The following is a 26,583-nucleotide window of genomic DNA, read 5'->3' as shown; positions in this document are numbered from 1 at the left end:
CCAAACACGAGGAGCAGCTGAGTACTTCAGTCCATTTCTATGTAACCTGGTAGGACTAAACCATGCCAGTGGATCACTTAGGGCCTAAAGAGATACTTAAAGCCAAAGAGATACTGGTGACAGAAGTCTCAGAGATTGACTCCCAAACTAATGGAGAAGAAAGGCTCTGCAAAACCTAGTTAAGTAGGATTTAGTAACCCAGAATGAGTTAGGGAAGCTCTCAGGGAACAGACCATCTGGGTTGAAGGTATGAGGAAGAGAATGTTAACTGCCCATCCATTATCTATTTCTCCCTAACTCCTTTACTAAAATCACTCTGGTATTGTAGAAAGCATCAACCAGCCCATCTAAAAATCCTTTCCAGCTTCCTTGCAGGTAGGGTGGTCATGTGACATGGTTCTGGCCAATAAGATGAAAGCACATGACACTTTCTAGGGATGAGGAAAGCTCTTTCAAAGAAGAATAGCTGGCACAGCTGTTTCTCCTTTGCCTTCCCCTCTCCTCCACCTGGAATGCAGAGCTGATGCTGGGAGGGGCAGAAGCCATCTTAGGATTAGGAGATAAAGAGACCCCACTAAGGATGGTGGGGCAGAGAGATCAAAGGAGCCAAGGACATCAGGACGCTGAGTCCTCACGCAGGTGCATGAACTCGGAACTCTTCCTCCGGGCTGCACATTATGTGACTAAAAAAAAAAAGTGAACCCCATATGGTTAAGTCACATAAATGGTGTTTTTCTATTACATGCAGCCAATCATATTCCTAAGCACTATTAGACTGATCAAACGAAAAAAAAAATTATGGACCATGAATCTAAGATTTTGTGCCATTTGTATTTTGAAATTGAAAGAGATTAAAGAACGAGGCAGAGAAATAATTTGCTACTGGTCAACCTGGGTAACTCAATCTTTTCTAAAGCAGCATTATTGTATAAAAGACTATAGCATTTACTACTATAGCAGAAACACCATTATCAATGCACGATCGTTTTAAGTACAAACCTCTGAATGAAAGGGAAAGTCCAGTGTTATCGGGTGAGAATATGCAGATCATCAAATGCCTGAGTCAATGTCATATTGATCACAAACTGCACAAAATTAACATTTTTCAAATAAAACATGACAAAAATCTGTAACATCTTTCAAGTTCATCCTCCCACCCTAGTACTGACTTGGGTTTAGCATAATCAGAGATTTAAAATCAGTGAGGAAAATATAACAGCAAGGCAGGGGGGGCCAGGAAGTTCATTTTCATAGAATTAACTTTACTGAAATAGAATTAAAATACAAGAAAACATAACCTAGCTTACCATGCTGTGTTTCACCCTAACAAAGAGAAAATAAATCACAACTTAGATCCTTGAGGGAAAGCTTCAATCCACACCAAAGGTCATGCATATCCATAATAAGCAAAATAAAAGAGTGTAATATCTAAGTCAAGGACAAAACCATGATGCCCTCAAACATGCCATATTTGTATGCAAAAATGGCAGCACGAGGACTGTGGTTTTGACCATGGACACGCCAGAGTGAACAGAAGCACACTCCAGTCCCTGACCAGTAACACATCACTAGTGGTTACCACCCTGTTTATGACTCTGATAGGTCAACACACAGTCAATAACTTGTTGCTTTGTCCTTATTACTATCATGGTAGACACATGGTTAGATTTTGAATTCTTCCCCCTTCTCCTGAGTCCTTCTTCTGGACACGACTGCTTCAGACAAACGAAAACACAGTGAGGAGGAAACGGGAAGGCACTGATGTGGGCCCACACTTTCAATTCCTTATTCTCGTTAATAGGTTACAAGGGCACCATGCTTTTCAAAGGCAAATGTATTCGCTAATTCAGAGGGACACAGGTTCATGAATCCCATCTGTGTGTGGAACTCACAACAAGAACAATAACAACGTAGAACCACCAACATCCATTGACATCACTCATGGCAGGTCACCCACAAAATAGCCATCCCCCAAAAAAACAAGCAGAGGGAGTGAAATTCCACACCCCACCCTCAACACACTTACTTTTCACATCTTTTGAATCATACAGTGAAGAGGCGTGGGCCAACTTAGAAAGTCCTCATTTTAGCGCAGCTCTTAACCTGCATCTGTATCTATACAATATTAAGGCTCTCTATAAAATAAGCCATAAATATCCCAATTTATGTATTTTATTGAGGCAAAATATACATATATATAATTCACCATCTTTACCATTTTAAGTATACAGTTCAATGGTAATAAATACATTTTTTGTTCCCCTTTAACCCTTCGATTTACTTTAAAGCTCAAAAATCATTCATAAGTTCATCCACACAGCGTGTGAAAACTGTCACTAGGCTAAAGCACCTGAGTATCCTTCCTCACGGAAATACCCTATGTAGGAAGAGTTCTCCCGAAATGAAACATCACTCTACTGAGGAAAAGAGGAGGAGGAAATCCCAGAGTCTGCCCAAGTGAGGCAATTTCACTTGGTTTTGCCTTTTCATTGTTGTTTTATTTATTTATTTTGTTTTTGAGATGGAGTCTCGCTCTGTCGCCCAGGCTGGAGTGCAGTGGCGCGATCTCCGCTCGCTGCAAGCTCCGCCTCCCGGGTTCACGCCCTTCTCCTGCCTCAGCCTCCCAAGTAGCTGGGATTACAGGCGTGAGCCACTGCGCCCGGCCTATTTTTGTTGTTGTTTTTCTTTTGGGACTTTTTGCCATATAAAGATATCCTGAAAAGGGCTTCTGAGCCCTCAGTAGACGCCCAGGATTGCACCTGCGTCATCGCCAATGCTTTCAGGAGCCAAGGCTCGACTCACAGGCACACATCTCAGACCAGGAACAGGGCTCCCGCCTCAGCACCGGCAGGGACCCAGGCGGGTAAGGAAAGAGTGGGCAGCTCACCCCAGGATCAACAGTGCTCTCTCAGCCTAGAAAGCAAGGGGGAAAAAGGGGGAAGAAGAAAGGAAAGAATAAGGGGACGAGAGAAGGGGAAGGAAAGAAGTGAAGGATCTCCTGCCAGTCCTCTGAGAGCCCGGGCATGGAGGGGATAGGTACGCACTGATTGAACAGGATCCTGGAGCGCACGATGAACTTGAAGATGGATTCTAGCGCTTTCATGGCTTTGTACAGCTGCTCATTTACTCCCGGCTTCTCAGCACCGTCCACGTAGTTCTTCAACACTTTTGTCAACTTCCTATTCACAATGCAAACACGCACAAATAAGCTCAGGAAAGGAAAATATCTCAAATCTTAACTGCTAAGGAAATATACAAGTAGGTTACTTTTATTTGGTTTCCATCTATCAGTATATGAATATCTGTAAAACGTTTTCTCTTTTTTTTTTTTTTTGTTTGAGACAGTTTCACCCTGTCACCCAGGATGGAGTGCAATGGTGCAATCTCGGCTCACTGCAACCTCTGCCTTCCGGGCTCAAGTGATTCTCCTGCCTCCGCCTCCCAAGTAGTTGGAATTATAGGCACACGCCGCCTCGCCCAGCTAATTTTTTGTATTTTAGTAGAGACAGGAGCTCACCATTTGCCCGGGCTGGTCTCAAACTCCTGAGCTCAGGCAATCCACCCCCCTTGGCCTCCCAAAGTGTTAGGATCATAGGCGTAAGCCACTGCACGGCCTGTAAAACGTTTTCTAATCAGTAAATGTGCCTGATAAAATACCTCTGAGAGCAAAGGCTGAGCATTTAATAAGCCCTTTCTAAGTGTAGACGTTGTTCTAAGCAGGTGAAATGCATTATCTAACTTAGCCTTCACAGCAACACTATGAGGCAGTATTATCCTATTTAATGGATGAGGAAACCAGGACTTCCACAGGTAAAACACTAGCTTCCCCAAGGTTAAACAATAAAATCGAAGAGATTTTCATTACAGCCAAACAGAGACACAAAAATTTTTTTCATAAAGGCATGACACCAAAAATACTCTCTGATGGATAGTGGTGACGATTTTCTCAACATTGCACTTTAAAACTATTAGGTAGGGGCCAGGTGCTCTTGCTCACACCTGGAATCCCAGCACTTTGGGAGGCCAAGGCAGGTGAATCACTTCAACTCAGGAGTTTGAGACCAGCCTGGACAACAAAATGAAACCCTGCCTCCAGAAAAAATACAAAAATTAGCCGGGTAGGATGGCATATGGCTGTAGTCCTAGCTACTCAAGAGGCTGAGGCAAGAGAATCACTTGAGTCCAGGAAGCAGAGGTTGCAGTGAGCCAAGATCGCGCTACTGCACTCCAGCATGGACGACAAGAGTGAAACCTTGTCTCAAAAAATCATAAAATAAAATAAAATGATTCGGTGAATTTTATGTTATGTGTATTTTACAACAATTTTTTTAAAGGCATGAAACAGTATTTGTTATTGGAAAGCATCTCAGACACTTTTATTCATTTTAGTTGATTTTCTAAAACTAGAGTTCTTACACCGAAAATTAAAATTTACAAATGGTCTTTCAAATAGGAAGCAGTCTTAAATTTTTAATAATATTGTAAAAATCCTTATAGAGAAGACTATAAACAATATATAAGAATAGTAAGAATACTATCAGTGGACACATGAAGATTTTAAAATATTGACATTTCCTAATAAGATTCCCCAAAAACATTTAGTTTTAAAAACACAATGACTACTATACTCTTAGTCTGTTTATTTATAAATTGGGATCTAAAATCAAGTAACATCCTAATATGAAAACATTTAAAATCTTTTCCATGATAAAAAAGTTTACACACTTTGGAATACACAAAAATTGAGTAAAATTATTTGTAAATTTTTCATCCTACTACAGAAGTAATTATAGACAGTTGGTATAAATAAACTATATATTAGGAGCTTAATATTAATTCATGGCTTCATAAATATTTTCAGTGTTTAATTCATAGATAGGTTTTTTTAATTCCTTGCTAAAGATGAAGGGAAATGTATTAAATTATTTTTACTTTACTGTAATTCAAATAACAAGAAAGTTCAAATGATAATAGATCTACTCAAAGTTTTAGGGAATGTGAGAAGCTTAATTTTTTAAAATCTAGAAATATATTAATCAACTTCATTAATAAACACATGAAAATTAAATAAAATTTCTGCCTAGTACAGACAAACTTTGGGGTATCATAACACTGCTGTTGGATAAATGGGCATAAAACTTTTTTTTTTTTTTTTCAGACAGAGTCTTGCTCTGTTGCCCAGGCGGGAGTGCAGTGGCACGATCTCAGCTCACTGAAACCTCCACCTCCCAGGTTCCAGCGATTCTCCTGCCTCAGCCTCCCACACAGCTACAGATGCACACCACCACGCCCAGCTAAGTTTTGTATTTTTAGTAGAGACAGGGTTTCACCATATTGGCCAGGCTGGTCTCGAACTCCTGACCTCGTGATCCACCCACCTCAGCCTCCCCAAGTGCTGGGATTACCGGTGTGAGCCACTGCACCCAGCAGGGCATAAAAATTTTTTAGAGGGTAAAGTGGCAATATGTATTATAATATCTATTGGAAATATCTATTATATATAATAGTTGGAAAATCTATTATAATTAAGAAATATCTATTATAATTAAGGAAATATCTGTTATATTTGGAAATATCTATTATAATTAAGGATATTGGAAATATCTATTATATTGGAAATATCTATTATAATTAAGGATATTCAAATCCTTTGACACCAGGAATTCCAACTCTAGTAACTGTCCTACAGAAACAATTACAAATGAATCAAATGATGTTTACTGCCGCATGATCTGACTAGTAAAAATACATAAACAATGCAAATGCCCAACCTCTGAGAGCCGGTTCAATAAATGGTAATACATCCCTACAATGAAATACTGCACAGCAGTTCAATACACTAGGTGGGCACTCCCTCATCACTATAGTAAAAAAAAAAAAAAAAAAAAAAAGAGGCCAGTTTTGTCATTATGCTGTTAAAAGAAAACAGCAGTTACAAAATCGAAGGTCTATTGTGAATCTGTTCTGTATTTTATATTCTCTCCTTCTGAACTTTTTGTCTGTCCTTATGCCAATACCATGCTATCTTGGTTACTGATGTTTAATAATAAATCTTGAAATTTTGATCTTCTAAAATATTATTTCGGTATTTTAGACTTTTTGAAAGTATAAATATTCAAATTAGTCCATTTTTTTTTCACAAAAGCATACAGAATTTTCATTGAGACTGTGTTCAAACTATAATTTGAAATAAACATTCAAGCAATATTTTATTTTTCAATACATGAACATGGTATATATTATCAAATTATTTACTTTTTATATTTCTCTTAGCAAATTTTGCAATTTTCAGTCATCTACCAGTAAATTTATCCCTCATTATTTTATTTATTTATTTTTGAGACAGAGTCTCACTCTGTCACTCAGGCTGGCGTGCAGTAGCGTGATCGTGGCTCACTGCAACCTCTCCCTCCCAAGTTCACGAGATTCTACTGCCTCAGCCTCCCAAGTAGCTGGGATTACAGGTGCCCACCACCACACTTGGCGAATTTTTGTATTTTCAGTAGAGATGGGGTTTCACCATGTTGGTCAGGCTGGTCTCAAACTCCTGAACTCAACTGATCCACCCACCTAGGCCTCCCTCCCAAAGTGTTGGGATTATAGGCATGAGCCACCATGCCCGGCCTATGACTTTTTGATAAGACCCTAAAGTGTACTGTACTGTACCATACTGTAATTCTACTGTACTTTTAATTCCCTCTCAATTATGTGTATATATACAATTGAAGTTTCCTTTTATGTTTGTTTTAAAATAAATTATAAAATAGATTCAGGAGGGCTTTTTATATACAAAATCAACGTGAAAATACAGTTTTTCTTTCCAATTGTTATACCCGCATTTATTTCTTCTTGCTTTACTACTTCCAGCGCAATAATAAACAGATATAGTAAGAAGAGACAGCCACGTTTGTTCCTGAACTTACAGGAAAAGCTTTCCATGTTCCAGCATTATGTATAAGGTTAGCTATGACTTTTCGTAGATGAGCTTTATCAGATCAAGGAACTTCCCATCTATTCCTAGTTTGCCAAGAGGTTTTATCATAAACAGATGCTGAATTCTGTCAAAAGCATAAAGCATAAAGCTTCTGAAACAGTGATGCCCAACAGAACTTTCTACAGTGATGGAAACCTGTTTCTGAGCTGTCCAACCTGGCTCAGCACTTGAAACACACCTGGCACAACTGCGGAAGTAATTGTTTAGTTTAATTTTATTTAAATAGCCACACGAGGCTAGTGCTGTGACATTAGACAGTGCAGGCATTGTTAAGACCTTTGGCTAGGCAAAGATTGTTTAGCCACAAAATGAAAATCCCTATCTGTTTTTTTAAATGATGATTTAGGCTTCAACAAAATAAAAGATTTCTGCTCATCGAAAGACACCATTAAGAAAAGGGATAAACAGAGGCAGGAAGAAAATGTTCAAAAATCATGTCTGACAAAAAAAAATACATATATTTATGTGTATAAACACACAAACACATACACACACATACCATAAACATCAATAAGAAACAGACAACAAAATATAAAATGAAAAAGAGATTTGAACAGACATTTCACAAATGGCAAATCAAAATAAAATAAACAGGTACTCAGTATCATCAGTTATCCAGTAACTGCAAATTAAAATCACCAAGAGATATAATTTTGCCCCCAGTACAATAGCTACAAAGTCAGACACTACTAAATGTTGATGAGGATACAGAGCAAAAGAACATTCACAGATTGCTGGTGGGAATGCAATATGGTACAACCCTTTTGGAGAACTGTCTCGCAATATCTTACAAAGAAAACTATACACGTATCCTTTAGCCCGGCAATTCTACCGCTAGGTGCTTATCCAAGGGAAACAAAAACAAACTTCACCAAAGACTTGGACAAGAATATTCATCGCAGCCTTATTCGGAATAGCCAAAAACTAGAAACACTTCATGTATCCATCAACAAGAAAATGGCTAAACAAATCATGAAATATTCATACAATAAAATACTGCTCAGAAATAGAGAGGAGCAAAATCAAATATTTAATGATGCACAAAGCAACATGCATGAATCTCAAGAGAATTATGTGGAAGGGAAGAAGCCAGATACAAAAAGAGTGCATGACCCCACTGGTGTAAAGTTTAAGAACAGGCAAAACACATTCCTAACAGAAACCACAGAGTGGCTGCTTGTCTGGGAGTGGGATGGGCTCAGATAGGCCAAGAGGGATGTTTGTGGGGAATGGCAATGTCTTATGTCTTGTTTTGGGCAGTAGTTCCAAGGGTATACAAAAACCGTCCAAACAAAATTAAAATGAGCATTTTGTTGTATGCAAATTATAACAATTTTTAAGTTTTTAAATTTTAAGCAAGCAAAAATAACAATGCTGTTTTGTAAAATATGCAGACATATTAGTCATAATCTTAATAACAATGTTAATATAAACATAGAAAATAAATGCTGGCACAGTAGATATCTCCAATATGTAGCATTATATACAAGGGAACTTTTATCGTCTGCACTATAACATTTGAGTAATGTGAGATTTCTTTACTATTTTTTATCCGTTGAGCATGTGTTATTTTTAAATGATAGAGGCAGTAGTGAGGATCTGCCATTTTTAATTCTATCCACACTTCTACACTTTCAACCATTACTGACTCATCAAATAATAATCTTGTTCATAAGGATGACCCTCAAGCAATAGCTTACACATAATAAAAGAACAACTGAATTAACAACAACACACGGTCATTTTTTAATGTACTGAGCTGCACTGCAACTCTCCAAAAACTAGCACCATGCGTGCAGCCAGTAAGACACCAGGAAGAATATCCGCCACCCAAACTTCTCCAGTCACCAACATCTTACGCATCCAACAAAATTCACTGAGGCTTTTTAAAAGCCACATGAAAGATTTTTATGTTCATAAAAGCAATCTGCTGGGGTACTGACAGCATGTCTGGTTCAGTTGTGAGCCAGTAAAGGCCAGACTGCTCACTCAGGTTATGGAATAAGACACTCAGAAGAGCAACCTTCACTGCAATTATGGATGAGCTAAGAGTACCTATTTTACCAATACATCACAATGAAAATCTTTTTTTTTTTTTTTTTTTTTTTGAGACGTAGTGTCGCTCTGCCCAGGCTGGAGTGCAGTGCTGTGATCTCTGCTCACTGCAACCTCTGCCTCCCAGGTTCAAGCGATTCTCCTACCTCAGCCTTCTGATTAGCTGGGATTACAGGCACCTGCCACCACACAAGGCTAACTTTTTGGGTTTTATTTTTTAGTAGGGATGGGGTTTCACCATGTTGGCCAGGCTGGTATTGAACTCCTGACCTCAAATGATCCGCCCACCTCAGCCTCCCAAAGTGCAAGGATTACAGGTGTGAGCCACCATGCATGGCCTGAAAAGCTTTTTGGGAGACTGAGTGGATGTGAAGCCATTTCTAACACCGATCAGGCACCAGAGCTCTAGTAGGGAGCCCTGATGCTCTCAGAGTCACACTCCTGCTCGCTGTTCTGAAGAGGCGAAGTCTGCAGATCCTCCTGCTACGGTGTCCATCTCCATTGGCTGGAAAACACACCTTGCCATATAGGCCTCTGCGGGTGGTGCTCACTGCACAAGAGAGCATGCAACACCCTGGCATGAAGCCTGCTTCACTCAGTTTTACTTATTTTCCCAAACTTACTGGACCACGCACCTCTTATTACATATATTAATATCCCAGGGAATAAACATTCCATAGAACACATTTTGGGAATTCTTCAAACCAATTAAAAAAAGAAAAATAATAATGATTTGCAAAGAGAAGGACTTAGAACCAACAAATGTATCTTAACCTGGAATTAGACAGCAAAAAGAAAGAAAATAAATAAAAGAAGGACCTAGAACCAGCAAATGAATCTTAACCTGGAATTAGACAGCAAAAAGAAAATAAATAAAAATAAATCTGCCAGGCCATCTTATACCTGCACAAAAAGCAACCCCTTGGCACTGGCTAGAGGGGGCGGAGCAGATGGAGCATCAGTTGCCAGTGAGGAGCCTGCAGCAGCTCCATAGGGTGGACAAAAAGGAGCCCAGTCATGCTGGTTTTATGGAAGAGCAGCCCCCAAAGCCGATGCCTCCCTTCATTCTCACTTGTACCAGTGCTGGTCAGTCCAGTGGGGCTCCAGCATCCATGAACTACCCACGCAGGGGAGCCGCAGACACAGCTCGAGGTGCGGAAGAGGACTGCCCATTGCCAAAATCTTTCATTCCTTCTCTTGGTGTTGTTGGGAAGAAGGGCTAAAGATCTCAACATTTACCAAAGGAGAGAGGCTACATGGACAAGAGTCTAAAGTAAGCCTGTACCTACCAAAGCCTTCTAGAGGAGAAGAGGACAAGGACACTCTGGGATAATATTACTGGAATTTCGCCTGGCCCAGAGAATACTGTAAGCATATCACCAATGCGGAGGCGACCTTCCATGATGTGGTCAGAGCTATCTCAGTCGCCACTGACTCCTTTGGAATTTCAAGGTGCAGACATGCAAATTCAGGCTGCTGAGGAACCACGTGAGGTTGCCAGTTTACCAAAACATGCTAACAATACTTATTTTCCACAATAAAAATTTCTTTTTCAGCAGATTCCATAGATTGAATGACAGGATCCTTTTTTTTTTTTTTTTTTTTTTTTTATTGAGACAGAGTCTTGATCTGTAGCCCAGGCTGGAGTGCAATGGCACGATCTCGGCTCACTGCAACCTCCGCCTCCCGGGTTCAAGTGATTCTCCTGCCTCAGCCTCCCAAGTAGCTGGGACTACAGGCACGTGCCACCACGCGCAGCTAATTTTTGCATTTTTAGTAGAGATGGGGGTTTCTCCATGTTGGCCAGACTGGTCTCCAACTCCTGGCCTCATGGGATCCACCCACCTCGGCCTTCCAAAGTGCTGGGATTACAGGTGTGAGCCACTCCACCCGGCCATGAGGATACTATTCTTATCTCAGTCCCATCACAGCATAAAGAAAAAATGGTACTTTTTGTTTGTCTCATTAGGAAACTCATCAAAATCTCCCATTTTTCTTTCTCCACCTATGAGAATGGCTGCATCACTCCTTCCCCAACAGCACAGCATGGAAAGGCTGGCGCCAATGAAGAGATGTGGCTGCAGTGTGGTAAGCTGATTCATGCCTCTCATCTTCTGAAATTCAAGCACGGAGCCTAATCTGAGAAGAGTTCTTTGGCCACATTTCAATCAAAAGGCAGAATTTTGAAAATGAGCACACGTGGAGGCCGTGCTACGTTTGCTGCAGTCCACAGGCCACTTCCGCAAACCCCACAAGCTCCTGTTTTGGTCACAAGAGCCAGGAAAAGTGCCCTGCAATGCACCCTCCCCACGGTCTGTAAGGAACTACTCGACATGCCCACACACTGGGCATCTCCACTCAGCGAACAAAATGTTTTAAACAAACGTTTATTAGCAAGCAAGTGCAAAGAACTAGTCACAGCTTGTTCCGCAGGCTTGAGGACCTCACAGCTCTTAGCCTTCCTGGAGCTCCACCCACCACCTTACAGTAAACACGCACACGAGGCAGATATGAAAGAATCCAGGTGCAGGACCAGGGTATATTAACAGCTGGCTTCAGGAGGCCAGAGTCCTCTGACCTGAGTTCATGACTGCACACAGGGAGGAAAAACAGGTATTTTGCAAAGTATGTTGAAGACACAGAAGGGAGTTTTAACTAAATTTACTCACACTAAAAAGAATCCTTTCTACTGATTCTAAGCGGGATGTTCTTAAAGAAATTATGTAAATCTTTATGTTTTGCTGTAACTCACACAATAAAAAGTCTGAATAAATGCCAATAAATTCCACCAAGAAAGAGCCGGTAAGTCATCATAATAAATCTAATGATAATGAAACCCAATAATTGCTTAGTGCTTTCTAAGTGCCAGGGATTAGTCCAAGCACTCTACACGTAATAACTTATTAAAATTTCCACACAAGCCTACAATCATGCTCTGATTACAGACAAGAAGGCTGAGGTACAGAGAGGTTAAGCAACTTGCCCAAGATCACAGAGCTTGTGAGGGACAGAGCTGCACATCAAGCCCAGGCAGCCTGACTCCAGACTCCAGGGCTCTGCTCTTCAATACCAGGCACACTGCTAAGCTGGCCCAGGCACCATGCATAGCCTCTGGTGTCTTCCTAGACCTCTGGGGCACAGACGGGCAGAGGGGTGGATAGAAGGAATCCAAGACAGTGACAGCTGAAGCTTGTCAAAGAAAAGGGAAGGTGCTCTTTAAAGAGCAAGGAGATACATTGCAAAGTACAAAACTGCATCTAATTCACACTAAACAACCAATCTCCTTAACACGGGAACACATGCATTTATCCATTCATCAAAGGCTCGCGAGGAAGCCGCGGTGTCAGACACTCCGCATCCAAAGCTCAGTTTCATCGAACATAAAGTGAAGATTTCAAAGATAAATGGAAGGTGTGAGGGAGAACAAGAATTTATTCCAGAATATTACGATGATTTATCACATATCTCTTTCAACAAGGTTTTTAGGTATGTTAAGAGGGAAACAATACTAAAAATTATTCCAGTAAACTCAGAGTTTTGAGCAGGAGTAAATACACAGTCATAGACAAAAGTACATGAAAAAGACTCTAAATAACACAAATACCAAAAAAAGAAGTATTGGTTTTAAAACAAAGTAGGAACTTACGTGTAGGCTAACGTTGCACTAAAGTGTTTCTTAATGTAAGTTTCCAAAACAGGATTAAAATGCTGAAATTTTCTATCAGCAATCAGTCCAATGATAAATACCTGTCAAATTAATCAATAATATTTTCATTAGCAACATAATGTAAGCCATTTTATAATCTTCATCAGAACCATCTGCACCCCTGTGTTAGGATATGAACCATAACATTTTCAGATAGAAGTTGGTGGCTAGTTTACCTTTTCTTACCCTAGAAATGACATTTGCCTAACTACAGTTTTACATTTAAAAAAAAGAGAAAAAAAATCTGCCACCCCAATTCATCTCTGATTGGATTTACAACTGAAAATGCGTTCAAGGTCACTGTGACGAAGCCCCCGACTCCAGCCTCAGACGCTGCAGCATGGAAGAACGCTGTGTTATCCAAGCATATGAGAAGGAAAGCTCTCTTACCAGAGCATCAAAGACTAACGTGTCAAAAGTCTCACTCTCTGAGTTCTCCATCATGATGTTGAAGAGGGCATCCAACGTGTCCTGAAGAAACTGCATAGACACAGAAGGTCGGGTGACAATGTGAACCCACCGGACTTCCCCCACACACTGGAATAACTATCATCTCTGCAGTACTCCAAATACCCACTTTGCCCCCAGCACTACCTATAAAGCCATTCGGGATCCTTTTCAGCCACTAGATACACAAGACAAAAATTTTGGATGAGCGAATTCAGAACAAAGAAATGCCACCAGTGTTAAATGGAGAGGGTCAAAGCAAGGAGAGGGCCTACTGCTTCCCCCAGGGGGCCTTTCCAACCCTCTTTCCGGTTTTCATAAGGCTGGTGACAAAGCGCTGAATGGCAACTCTGGGAAGATGCATCTCACTCATTCTACACACTGGGTACAGGACTTCAGCTAGTGAATGGGCAGAAGCCACACAGGGACAGGACCCAGCTGAGTGGAAGGAAGGACCTTCTACCAACCAGGGTGCCCAGGCATGGAAGAGGATCGTGATTCTGAAACTGGAATACACAGCAGTATCCCAGTTTTGAGACCAGAAGGTGCTTACTTTATTCAACAACAATGTCGAAATTACAGTTACAGTTGACTAAAATTTACCAAATAAATACTACTGCAAAGAAGGACAAAGCATCATACATGTAATTAGGAAGAGACTTCAAAGGCATGTCACACTACAAGTCAGCTTCAAGTCCCACCCCATCCTCCCCTGCAGGAAATGTAAGACGGACTGAAGATCACGGTGTTGGAAGTGATGATTCGTATTAGAAGAGAAGGTCAAGAAGAGGCAGAACGCCACACAACGAAATACTGGCCATAAACATGATGAAGTACTGATCTATCATGATTACTCATTAGGGACATACAAAGGGAAACCATCATGAGCTATCACTTCACACCCACTATCTGGGCTACAATTTAAGATGACTAATAAGAAGTGGGCAAGAACGCAGAGAAATTGGAGACCTTGCACACTGCTGGTAGAAATGTACAATTGTGCAATTGCTATGAAAAACTGTTTGACAATTCCTCAAAAACTTAAACACAGATTTACCATATGAGTCAACAGTTTCATTCCTGGCCATCTCTCCAAAAGAAAGGAAACATATGTTCACAAAATAACTTGTACACAAATATTATTCATCATCTCCAAAAAAGCAGAATCAATACAAATGTGTGTCAACTAATGAATGGAAAGACAATCTGCGGTCTATCCATGTGATGGAATGTTATCGGCCATAAAAAGGCATAAAAGCAGGCCAGGTGCAGTGGCTCACATCTGTAATCTCAGCACTTTGGGAGGCTGAGGAGGCCGGATCACCTGAGGTCGGGAGTTCGAGACCAGCCTGACCAACATGGAGAAACCCCCATCTCTACTAAAAATACAAAACTAGCCGGGCATGGTGGCACACGCTTGTAATCCCAGCTACTTGGGAGGCTGAGGCAGGAGAATCAGTTGAACCTGGGAGGTGGAGGTTGTGGTGAGCCAAGATCCTGAGATTGCGCCTTTGCACTCCAGCCTGGCCAACAAGAGCACAACTTCATCTCAAAACAAAAAAAGGTGTGAAGCACTGATAGTCACTACGGCATGAATAAACCTTGAAGACACAAGGCTAAGTGAGAGAAGCCAGACACAAAAGGCCACAGGGCGTATGATTCAATTTACATAAAATATCCAGAACAGGTAAATCCATCGAGACAGGAAGCAGATTAGTGGTTACAGGAAGAGGAGAAAGTGACTACTAATAGCTATGTGGTTTCTTTTGGGATGATGAAAGTGTTCTGAAATTAGACAGTGGTAATAGTTGTACAACTCCATGAAGACACTAAAAACTTCAGAGTAAAAGGATGAATTTTTTGGTATGTGAATTATATCTCAATGAAACTGTAATTTAAAGAAAAATAAAAATAAATGGGTGAGGTGATCACACAGCAAGGACATCAGAGGAAAGGCTGGGTCAGGTGTTTGGTTCAGATTCCTCCTGGACTGTGCAGCCTCTTCCCAACACCCAGGGGGCTTTTGGGATGGCATGGAAGATCTCAAACTGCTATAGCCCCAAGATTAAAGAAGCAAACCACAAACTCCTGCTCGCAAAGGAGTGCTGTGGAACCACAGCAGCAGCAACAGCCTCGCCCGCCTCCTTCGGGAGAGAGGATGTCCAGCATGCCCAGCATGAGCCTCATCCGTTTCCTTTGGGAGAGAGGACGCCCAGCATGCCCAGCATGAGATCAGAGACCCTTTAAGGAGTAAAATCCTCTCCATGCTTGGCTGTGCCAGCCACCACTTACTTTATACCAGAAAATGTCACATGCAAACAGTGGGAAACAAAACCAACCTGACCAAAAGGCATGCTGGTCTGGATGTCAAGGGATTAATCAACTCCTAACTATGTGGATCTGTACCACTTTGTTACTTTTGCACCATTTCCCATCATTTTCAGAATGTAGATTCTTTGCGAAGGTCAAAACTTGATGCCATCTGCTAACAGCCGAATATTTCCCTGCCAACAGGCTCCCAGGTGGCAGGACCTGGCCTGTCACGGTTCATGCAAAGTCCCTGAAGTAGACCACCTGGTCCCACCCAGACACATGACATGGTCAGTGGCACAGAAACAGAACCACAGGGAGATGGAGCTGCACGTATTGGGCTGCGGAGCTGCAGTGGGGCAGGGGCGAGCACCTGAAGGAGGGCCTTCACACGGAGCCATGAAAGGGCTTCATCTGGCACCCCACCCTCTCTCTAAGACCATGTTCAAGGGCACCAAAGTCACCATTTCCATTTTCCATCTAATGGGACAGCGTATCTTTTGCTAAATACACAAATACCTTCCTCAATCTACCAAGCAATGCCATCTCTCTGCTATCAGTCATCAATACTCAGAAGGGAGGTCCTGAATAAATGGAACCAAACCCACAATCTATCAGCATCCCTATCAGCAAAAGGAGCCCCGTGCAGGCAGGAATTCCTCAAGTCCTGGCTGGCCATTAACAGCCCCGTGGCCTCAAGTCAGTTCCACTCTCTAGGCTCACGGCGCATGTCAGACACGCCAGCAGAGAAAAAGCACAAAGTTAGGCAAGGTAGGTAAGGGCTGGACAGGTCACCCAGGCTTGCGTGGTACCAGCACGCACAGGAAGAAAGGAAAGGTGTAAAGGCCATGTCTAGGGATGAATAATCAAATGTGAGAATCTATGAGATGAGGGGAATGGGGGAGAATGACGGGACAAGATCATTCTACATTCTTCCAGGTAACTGTGGTAACTGGTCGCCAGAAATACAACTCATTCCTAATATGATACAGGGACTTCAAAATGAAAGAGGACAAAATTTCATTAACTGGATTCTTCTCAACTACGTTCATGTATTTCACCTAGTTTCCACCTGAATTAGGGAATTTACAGAACACAGGGAAGTTTAAAATGCAATTAACATTGTCCAAGCCATTGGGAGAACACCAGGACTGAGAAGATGATTAAAATTTTAAGATTAGTGAGTATATGTCTGAAGAGTTATACGATTCAGGAAACTGGTGCGACCAAATTAATTGATACTGAAGTGAAGCACACTGCTGGTTAATTAAGGCCATTTTAAGTAATTAGTTTTTACAGAGATAAGGTCGTCTCTTTCTGCAATCACCTCTCCTAGAGAGTGAGGAACTGAGGCGGCAACACACAGACCTTGCTGGAGAGTCTATGCTTATAGAACGCCACATGCCAGTGACCCCCTTATCGTCCCATAGCCAAAAACAGAATCGACTAAAAATGGAAATTCGCTTCCTCACGTACAAGGAAAAGTTGCCCCAGCAAATTGTGGGGTATCTGAGAGCAGAGAAGAGCCTAATACTGCAGAAAACATCAGAACCACAAACAATTACAGAGTAAAGAATTCCAGAAGCTGAGTGCTCCCAGGACCTCCGGCCATGTAATCTGACTGCCCTCTCTCACAGATAAAGATGCTGAGGCCACAAGGGTCTGAATGAATAATTATACCCGACACTGCTGCAGAGCGTCCCGTGGGAAGAAGACGGCCCAGGCAAGCCTCTCAGTGTCGTGATCTTTCTACCACACCACAGACCTCTCCTGGTCACTTAAAGGGGATCTCAGGGAGTCTAGTACGAATGCTGATGGCAGTAACAAGGATCATGACAACAGTAAAAAGACCTGAGGCTCCACAACGACCCTGCAGAAGGCACTACTGTTACCCCACTTCTCATGGCAGGGGAAAGAGAGGCTTAAAGAGGTCACTGAACTGTTGTGAGTCCTGTAGTGAGGACCTATGGGAAGAGGACGCAGAACCCACGATGAGGTTGATTGCAAAGCCAGTCCCCTTCACGGCTAACCCAGAGAGTCCCCCCAAACCAGAAGCCAAGAAGCACTCTGTGCACCTAGAGGTGTATGTCACTATTTTTTTGTTTTGTTTTTTTGAGACGGAGTTTTGCTCTTGTTGCCCAGGCTGGAGTGCAATGGTGCGATCTCAACTCACTGCAACCTCCGCCTCCTGGGTTCAAGCAATTCTCCTGCCTCAGCCTCCCGAGTAGCTGGGATTACAGGCATGCGCCACCACACCCGGCTAATTTTGTATTTTTAGTAGAGACGGGGTTTCTCCATGTTGGTCAGGGTGGTCTTGAACTCCTGACCTCAGGTGATCCACCCACCTCGGCCTCCCAAAGTGCTGAGATTACAGGCGTAAGCCACCGCACCCAATCCCTATGTCACTATTTTTTAAAGGGAGTATAACCACAATCCTATACTACCTTTGAAGTCACTGCCTACTTCTGTTAACATACATTAAAAAAAAAAAAAAAAAAAGACCCAAAAAGTCCCTTTGGGCTCCATGTTACCTTCACTACTTCACCACCATCGACTTTCATCAGCTGCCTCAAGTTCTGCTGCAGCAGGCTGGTGTTGGAGCGCCATTTCAAGAGCCCCAGAAGGTCCACTGGAAACAGAAAATGACAATCAGATCTTCACAAGCAAGAAACTCTGTTCTGTCTCTGTTAATCATGCATTATGTGAGGTTCTCTATAAAATTTTGTGAACAGAGAAATCAACCCTATTTTAAAAGATTCACCTGCTAAATATTCCATTCCTTTGTAGCAACATACTTAACACCTAGTACACTTGAATTCATTATTCCCAACGACATTTACCATGAAATGATTTCCATGTAGAAGCTTTAAAAGTGCATTTGGGAAACTAAAAAAGAACTTGTCTTTCCATTCTACAGGAAGGCAGTTTCAGAGCACCACAAGGCCTGAAGAGGCCTGCTCACCCAGAAAGCGCTGCCCAGGCACTGGATACCAAATGGTTTGTTTCTCCTGCTCAAGAACAAGCTGCTATTTTTTTATAGATAATATAAATAAAATAACTAACACAAATTAAAGTACTGAGACTGCAAGGTTAAGAGTCCCCACAGCTACAGTAGCTCTGGACAACTGAGACCACGCCTGCACTGAGGTTCACGCCTGCACTGAGTGAGCTTCCGGCCCTCACCATGTCTGGGCTTCCACAGAAGTTTGTGGTTGTTATGGTTGTGTTTTTGTTTGTTGCATTTTATATAGAAAAAGCAAGGAATGAATATACTGGTTTTTAAAGAGTCAATGTGGAAGAAGACAGTGTCCAGAAATGTTTTTGTTTAAGGCATCAAGATATTCTTTTTCTTTTTTTTTTTTTTTTCCTTGAGATGGCGTTTCGCTCTTGCTGCCCAGGCTGGAGTGCAATGGCGCAATCTCAGCTCACTGCAACCTCCGCCTCCTGGGTTCAAGAGATTTTCCTGCCTCAGCCTCCGAAGTAGCTAAGATTACAGGCGCCCGCCACCACACCCAGCTAATTTTTTTTGTAGTTTTAGTGGAGACAGGATTTCACCATGTTGGCCAGGCTGATCTCGAACTCCTGATCGCAGGTGATCCACCTGCCTCAGCCTCCCAAAGTGCTGGGATTACAAGTGTGAGCCACCATGCCTGGCCCAAGATATTCTTTAAGGTAAGAAGTCAGGATCCAAAAGCTCTCTAGGAAAGTACATATGCCTACCCAAGTTTCACCTGAAGTTATATTAACATCCCATTACTCGAAAAAATACCATTAACAAAGTACATCTAATTTACCGTTATGCTCATGAACCAACTTCAGCTACAGAAACTGTCTCCATAAAAGAAAGAATCAAAAAACAAAACTCTAGTTAATACTGAAGAAGAAAAAAAAAACAAACTCTAATTGTGACTATAGGTAGAAAATCAGGAAATACAGACATCCATTATAACTTCAGCATCAAATTGTACAAAAGGCATGCAGGCAATAAGCTCCAAAACAAGTACAGCTGACAAAGGGAAGAGTTAAAAATAGGGAGACAAAAAAGGAGCACCCAAAGATCCCGTGGAAGACGCCCAAGTGTGGGCCTAACCACCAGCATGCAGCAACCACTTGGCCTGGGGAGGTAACTTCACCTCAGTGTTCTCATCTGAACCATGGGTACAGTGTTGCCTGATTCACAAGGTGGTTGTAAGAATTAACTGACATGACGTGTAGAAAGCACTTAGCAGAATGCCTAGTCCAAAGCACAAATGGCAGCAGTCATCCCAGGAGAGGATGACGAATTGAGCACTCTACTCTTTTTTATTTATTTATTTATTTATTTATTTATTTATTTATTTATTTTTGAGACAGGGTCTCACTCTGTCATACAGGCTGGGGTGCAGGAGCACAACCACAGCTCAATGCAGCCTCTAACTCCCAGGCTCAAGCAATCCTCCCACCACAGCCTCCCAAGTTGCTGGGGCTACAGGTGCACGCCACCATGCACAGCTAATTTTTAGTAGAGACAGGGACTCGCCATGTTGCCCAGGCTGGTCTTAACCTCCTGGGCTCATGTGAACCTCACGCCTCAGCCTCCCAAAGTGCTGGGATTACAGATGTGAGCCACTGCACCTGGGCAACATGTCTTCATTTCTAAGTGAAAGTGAAGTAATGGAAAAGGCTCCATCCTGCCCAGACACACTCTTGGTCCTAGGGTTAAGGGAGATTTCCATCTCACAAGAATTACCAGTATTTCCTTAATAGACAGTAATAATCTGGATCCCCTTCATTCAAAGTTGGTGGCACGCTGTATTGTAAGTTTGAGACAAAGTCCAATTGGGCTAATGAGTAGTAAAACACCTTGGAGCAAAGGGAGTGCTGGAAGAAAACAGGGCTTGTCCAGCCCCCATGAGGCTGCCCAAGGCAGATGAGTCCCACCCCAGGCCCTTATTACCGGGACTCACAGCCCATATTCATGACTCCTTTCTAATTATATAGTCAGTTAATTGAGAAGAGGAATCACATCTTGTACTTCTTTCATATCCCCCACAGCATCTAGCATAATGCTGAGGACAGAGAAGTTTAATACCAACCTCAATGAATAATTCAGCCACTGCGTTTCCCTAAGTAATGGAACTTCGCAGGAACAAATCATGGTTTCAGAAAAATGATTCCCTCAAATGAGAATGTGGGAGTTGATGCTTAGACGCCATTTGGGGCAGCTCCATCTTGTACACACCTGACATGCCACAATCCCAAGAAGGGGAACCGTGGCTGGTGAGAAATGAAAGGCAGACTTCCCATCAGTCCTGGTGAGTGGCATCACATCGGAATTTCCTTGTTGCCTGGCAACAGCTGCTGCTGAGAGCAGGGTGCCCTCTCCCTCAGTCTGGGGAGGGGATTACTCTGCAGCTGGTGAGACTTAAGGAGCTTGAGGGTGAAAGGAGGGATTGCCACTGACCCCACCCCCCGGGGGGATGTCCTGGTCCACAGTCCCCTTTCTCCAGGGTCATAAGGGTTAAGAAGGATTCTGTGGATGGGCCTCATCACCTAACCGCAGCTCAGAGCATTGCTTTGAATGGGGAAAGATGAGCAAGTTAAGTAATGACTTCCGAGCATGCTTTCGGAACATGACCCAATTATGAGATGATGGCTTCCTGCACCATGAGCACTGCAACACATGGCACCTACTGAAATGCTAAAGTGTGGCCCACCTGGAGATGTCACCTTTGGGTTAAATTAGGCTCTGGATGCTGTCATCTGTCAGGCGAGTGGAGCTATCAAGGCCACATCCAGAGACTAACATGTCACAGGGGAGCATCCTTTCCATAACCAAGTCCCAAGTTGAGCCCCGCACTGCTGACCACATGATATGGTTTGGCTATGTCCACACCCAGATCTTATCTTGAATTCCCACGTGTTGTGGGAGGGACCTGGTGGGAGGTAATTGAATCATGGGGGCAGGTCTTTCCTGTGCTGTTCTCATGAGAGTGATAAGACTCATGAGATCTGATGGTTTTAAAAAGAGAAGTTCCCCTGCACAAGCTCTCTCTCTCTCTTTCTCTCTCTCTCTGCCTGCGGCCATCCACGTAAGATGTGACTTGCTCCTCCTTGCCTTCCACCACAATTGTGAGGCATCCCCAGTCACACAGAACTGTACATTAAACCTCTCTCTTTTGTAAATTGCCCAGTCTCAGGTATGTCTTTATCAGCAGCATGAACAGGGACAAATACACTGCACATGCCTCGGGCATGCCACTAGCAGGCTCCCTGTGCATTCTCTCCCTTCCCCACTGCACGGCTGCATAGATCCCACACCCAGGTAAGGCTTTTCATATGCTCATGGAGACCACTACACAACCACAAGCTAGGACCCTTCATAAATGGTTCGAGAAATGCATGCAAATGGAATATAAAAGTGCCCCAGTAGGCTTAAGGCACTTAAGAGACTTACTGCTCCCACACCAAGCAGTTTACTCAGCAGACCAGCAGTGGGAAAGTGTAGCCCAGAACAACAGAGTGCAAAGTGCAGAAACGGAAAGATCCAAAAGCATTTGACCCAGGGCTCGCATGCCCAAACATGCAGCACACTCAGTGCACGCTCCACTACAATGTCCTGACTTCCAGACAATGGCTTTACTTTTGTCCTGTGTTTATCCTATTAAAGTCCAAACGATGACTGTCCCTTGGGCAAATCCAAAACTACTGCCATGATTTACGGACAATCCCCCAGAGACACAACTCATGATAGCAACAGACAGTAATAATCAAAATCTGTATCGGGCAGTTAAGAGGAAAAAATTGGATTTTCAAGCTCTGCTTCAAGAGAGCATAAAGTCACTCTGCACAGCTGTGATACGGCTGCATTTGGAAGATTCAATTTTTAAATGTAGGATTTCTGCCTCTTCCAGACGGAGTGACAGCAACAACATCAGTGTGCTCTGAATAAGAAGTACCCCTGGCTGGACAGCAATGTCACTGGAGAGGCTGCAAGCAGTGGTGGTGCAGGCACTCAAAGCATCGGCCAAACCCCACACAAGGGCACGGCACCAGCTGATGGATGAGTGATCTGCCACATTAGGGCTGAGCTTTGGGGTGTGGGAGTCAGCAGGGGGTGCCTTATCCCACAGCACGAGTAGGGCTAGAAAGTAACATCCAAACCAGCTTTTAAAAATAAAGATAACTAGTAATTATCTCAGAGAGTAGCTGAGAATGGGGAAGACATAAAGAGGGAGGTGAGCTCCCAGCCCACTGTTCATGTAACCCTCACTAAGCCCTTTGAGGCAGGCACTATTCCCGTATCGACAGACAAGGAAGATAAGACCCAGAAATGTGCAGAAGACTTGTTGAAGGGCATCCCCAGGGTTAACACAGGGCTATGGTCCGATTCCAGGTTTTTAGTCTGACTCCAAATCTTGTGCACTTTCCTTTATGTCACGCTACCTTCCTTTGGCCAAAAATCATTTTAAGAAGTAAATCCATTGCTTTATCTCCCTTTAAGAGTAATACAGCTGGGCACAGTGGCTCGTGCCTGTAATCCCAGCACTCTGGGAGACCGAGGCGGGAGGTTTGCCTGAACCCAGGAGTTTGGGAATAGCCTGGGCAATAAAGTGAGACCTCATCTCTATAAAAAATAAAAATAAAATTAGCCAAGCGTGATGCTGCACACCTGTGGTCCCAGCTACATGGGAAGCTGAGGTGGGAGGATCGCCTGAGCCTAGGAGGACAAGGCTGGAGTGAGTTGAGATCACACCACTGCACTCCAGCCTGGGCAACAGAGCGAGACTGAGACCTTGTCTTAAAAAATAAAAATAAAAATAAAAGAATAACCCTTAGACCAGAGTAGAAGTGTGAATTTTAAATTACAACAAATGAACAAATGCCACCTTCTATGCATTGATAAATCATCACAGCCCGATGCAATGAATGCCTTATGGGTGACGTTCATGCACCTACGGAGCACACCTCCACATAGGAAGGAGCATGGAAAAGACAGGACTGGGGCAGAGCTCCTGGGGTGAGTGTGTTTCTCCTCTCGAACGCACCGTTCTGAGTCAGTTTGGTGGAGCACACGAGCGTGGAGATCTGGAAGGAGTCCTTGCTAATGGTGCAGCTCCCAAGGCTCTGCATGCTCTTGCCGGTGGCCGAGTGGCCCTTTTCTTCCAACTCTGCCTTCGTGGAGGGCAGACTCAAGTACGTGGCAGCATCTTCCAGCTTCTTTGCTTCGGCCTGTGGATTTAGTCATGCCGTATGTCAAAGGCAATTCACAAACAGCAACACACCATTTTTGCCACCCTTTGTTATCCCTAATCCTTGTAACCATCGTAATTGCTTTGTATCATATTAAATACACATTTTAATAATTTCCCTTATTACTGCAGCATAATTCATGTTCACGGCATTTTTAGATGGCACCTATTGTTATATTGTATATCATCTTTTCCCGTTAGGAACAACAAAAGGGCTGGTCATTGGAAATGTTCATTTGCATAATTAAATGTAGCTAGATAGCAGCTTCCTCACAATGATGGGAAAGGTTGGTCCAGGTCAGGGAGCCCAGAAAAGACTGAAACTGTCTATAGCAGCAATATTGCACCAATGCAACCAGATACCTTATAGACGATAAGATCGTGCTCTCCGTCTCGCAGGGTGGTACCATCGTATCTCATCAGCTTGACAAATGCTAGTGCAAATATTTTCTCAGATTTATCCTTAGCTGTAAAACAAAAAACAAAAAAATTGATGATTGCTTTCAATTATCATGACAAAATAACATTATAAGAAGCTACAAAGGCTACCTTTATGAAAACAATTACAAAATTATACAAACAGGTATTAAAGCTAATCTAATAAATATATGGAAAAATGGACCACGTTTACAAGTAAGAAGACTCCTAGCATAAAGGGATCAGTTGTTCTCAAATTAATCTATAAATTCAAAGCCATTCTAATCAAAATCTCATAGAAGAGATTTTTCCTGGAACGTGAAAACGGATTCCAGGATAAAGGGCCAAGAAGAGCAGCATGGTCTTGAAGAAGGCAGAGGAAAGCCCGCAACACTAGAAAGCGAGAGTAACTGTAAAATGACAATGAGAAAGACTGTGTGCTTTCAACCTAAGACGCCCAGACCAGCGGAAATCAACAGGGCCTGGAAACAAGAGGCCACAGTAAACGACAGAGGCTGGGAAGGGGCAGACCATTCCACCAAGGAAACTGCGGGTCAATACAGAAAACTAAAATCAATTCCTGCCTTGCAATATCCATCATGTGAATTACCAATGGACTAACGACCCCAATGTGAAATTGTGCTGCCTTTGGCGAGAAAGTTCATCCCCCAGGTATCTGCATGTGGGGCTCACTCGCTTCATTCAAGTTTCTGCCAAAATGTCACCTCCTCCAAAGTGACCATATCTTGTCTAAAATAGCCCATTAGTCACCCAATCACCCTCTTTCCTCTCACCTGATTTATTTTCGTGATAATTCTTATCACTACCAGATGTTGTGTTTATGTGTGTGTGTGACAGAGAGACAGAGATAGAGATAGAGACAGAGACAGAGACAGAGACAGAGATAGAGATAGATTGATAGAGAATCTTGTTGATCTTGTTGCTATTTATTGTTGGTTTCATCCACTAGACCCTGGAATGTAAGTGACCTTTTGTTTTACTGCCATTTCCTAGTACATGAAATAGAGCCTGGTGCCCAACAGGTACTCAATCCATATTTGTGCCACTTTGGGAGACAGTCAACAAACAAATGAGCTTTCAGATGATATAGAAAACAAAACATTGTGGTTTCTTAAGGGGTCACAGTGACAACGGGGACAATCCAATTTATTAGTCAGAAGACATCTCTCTGAGAAGCTGGACAGCACATAAGCCAAGATGTCAATGCTGCAGGAAGAGGGGGACCTAGCGCAGAGGCCCTCACGAGGACCAGTGTGGCACATCTGGGGACAGAAGTCCAGTGTGGCTGGTGACAGACAGCGAGGGCCAAAGGCGGGGAAGGACTGATAAGCCAGGACAGATGAGGAACATGGACTGAAGAAATGGATCTGCCAGAAATTCCTCAAGTTGCAATCCCAGCAGAGCACAGAAACAGAGGACCAGAGCTGGAAACTATCTCTACAATTACAGATTCCGAGCTTTCTCTTTATAGATGAAAGGACAGAGATCAGAGAGGGAGAATGACACATCCACCCGCCTTGAGTCCACGGCTCAAAATATTTACCGTCGGATCCCACTACCCAAGACAACATGGCTTATCACCTTTGCCTTCCTGGTTGTGCTCAATACATCCTGGCAAATTAAATGGTTCCATGAATAATCAACCAGCCAAAAAACACAGGAAGAAACAGAAGTAAAATATATGTACCCTAGGATTCTAAAAAAATAACTCTGTAAAAGGGCACCAGAGCACATGAAATATTTCAATGTTCAAATGGCAAAGAACAGAACAGTTCCTCCTAAGTTTGGGTGGACTTGGAAACAACGGCAACAAAAAAGACATGCCTCCAGGAAAACAGCCAGGGTTCAGAAGGATGTGTGACAATAATGGTCAGCAGAAGGCTTCTACTGACCCTACCAGTAAGTAGTACAGTAAGTGCACCTTTTATTAACATTCTGCATCTTCACATCCGAGGAATGGACCGCTTTTTACTGCATGCTCACTAGCAGCCATCATGAGATGGATGGTTTATATGACAAGTTTACAGAACCTTAGGAACAGCAGTAGGGGTTGTGTGTTCTGGAGTGTGGGTAGAGCTGCCCATTCTCTAGGCCGCCCTACCCAACAAGCCCACTACAATCAAGGAAAACTCAGCTCCTGGCCAGCTGGGCCTGAGAGCTGCAAGTCTGCCTGGCTCCGTGGACCACACGGTCTGGTGCAGCTGGAGTTGCCGACAGGTTGCTGGAAAGGTATTATGTTAACCCATCGACACCAAACTTTCCAATCCCAAGGTCAGATCCCAGGTGAGAAATCCCATCACTTGTTCCCTTTGCTAGCCTCCTCTTCAGGGTAGCAAGTGGGGACCAATGTGGCCTCAGCTCTTTCTACCTGTTTCTGCCCCAGGTATCTGCATGCAGGGCTG

At 43.0% G+C, this 26,583-nt stretch overlaps 1 protein-coding gene across 24 annotated transcripts in view; it reads right to left on the bottom strand.

Annotated features, from left to right (window-relative positions):
• DOCK1 (dedicator of cytokinesis 1) overlaps window positions 1-26,583 on the bottom strand; it is a 547,089-nt gene that overhangs the window by 396,657 nt on the left and 123,849 nt on the right. For all 24 annotated transcript variants that reach the window (XR_007061946.1, NM_001377544.1, NM_001290223.2 and 21 more), the window contains 6 exons: window positions 24,107-24,210; window positions 23,540-23,723; window positions 18,044-18,141; window positions 13,146-13,235; window positions 12,696-12,796; window positions 3,045-3,179 (listed from right to left, as the gene is read on the bottom strand). Coding sequence is in view for 23 of the 24 variants with exons in the window: in NM_001377544.1 (NP_001364473.1) it covers window positions 3,045-3,179; window positions 12,696-12,796; window positions 13,146-13,235; window positions 18,044-18,141; window positions 23,540-23,723; window positions 24,107-24,210 (712 nt within the window). In the remaining variant the exon portion in view is untranslated. The remainder of the gene's footprint in view (window positions 1-3,044; window positions 3,180-12,695; window positions 12,797-13,145; window positions 13,236-18,043; window positions 18,142-23,539; window positions 23,724-24,106; window positions 24,211-26,583) is intronic.

This window comes from Homo sapiens, chromosome 10 (assembly GCF_000001405.40).
Source record: "Homo sapiens chromosome 10, GRCh38.p14 Primary Assembly".
Taxonomy (NCBI): Eukaryota; Metazoa; Chordata; class Mammalia; order Primates; family Hominidae; genus Homo; species Homo sapiens.
This window is presented reverse-complemented; position numbering and strand designations above follow the sequence as displayed.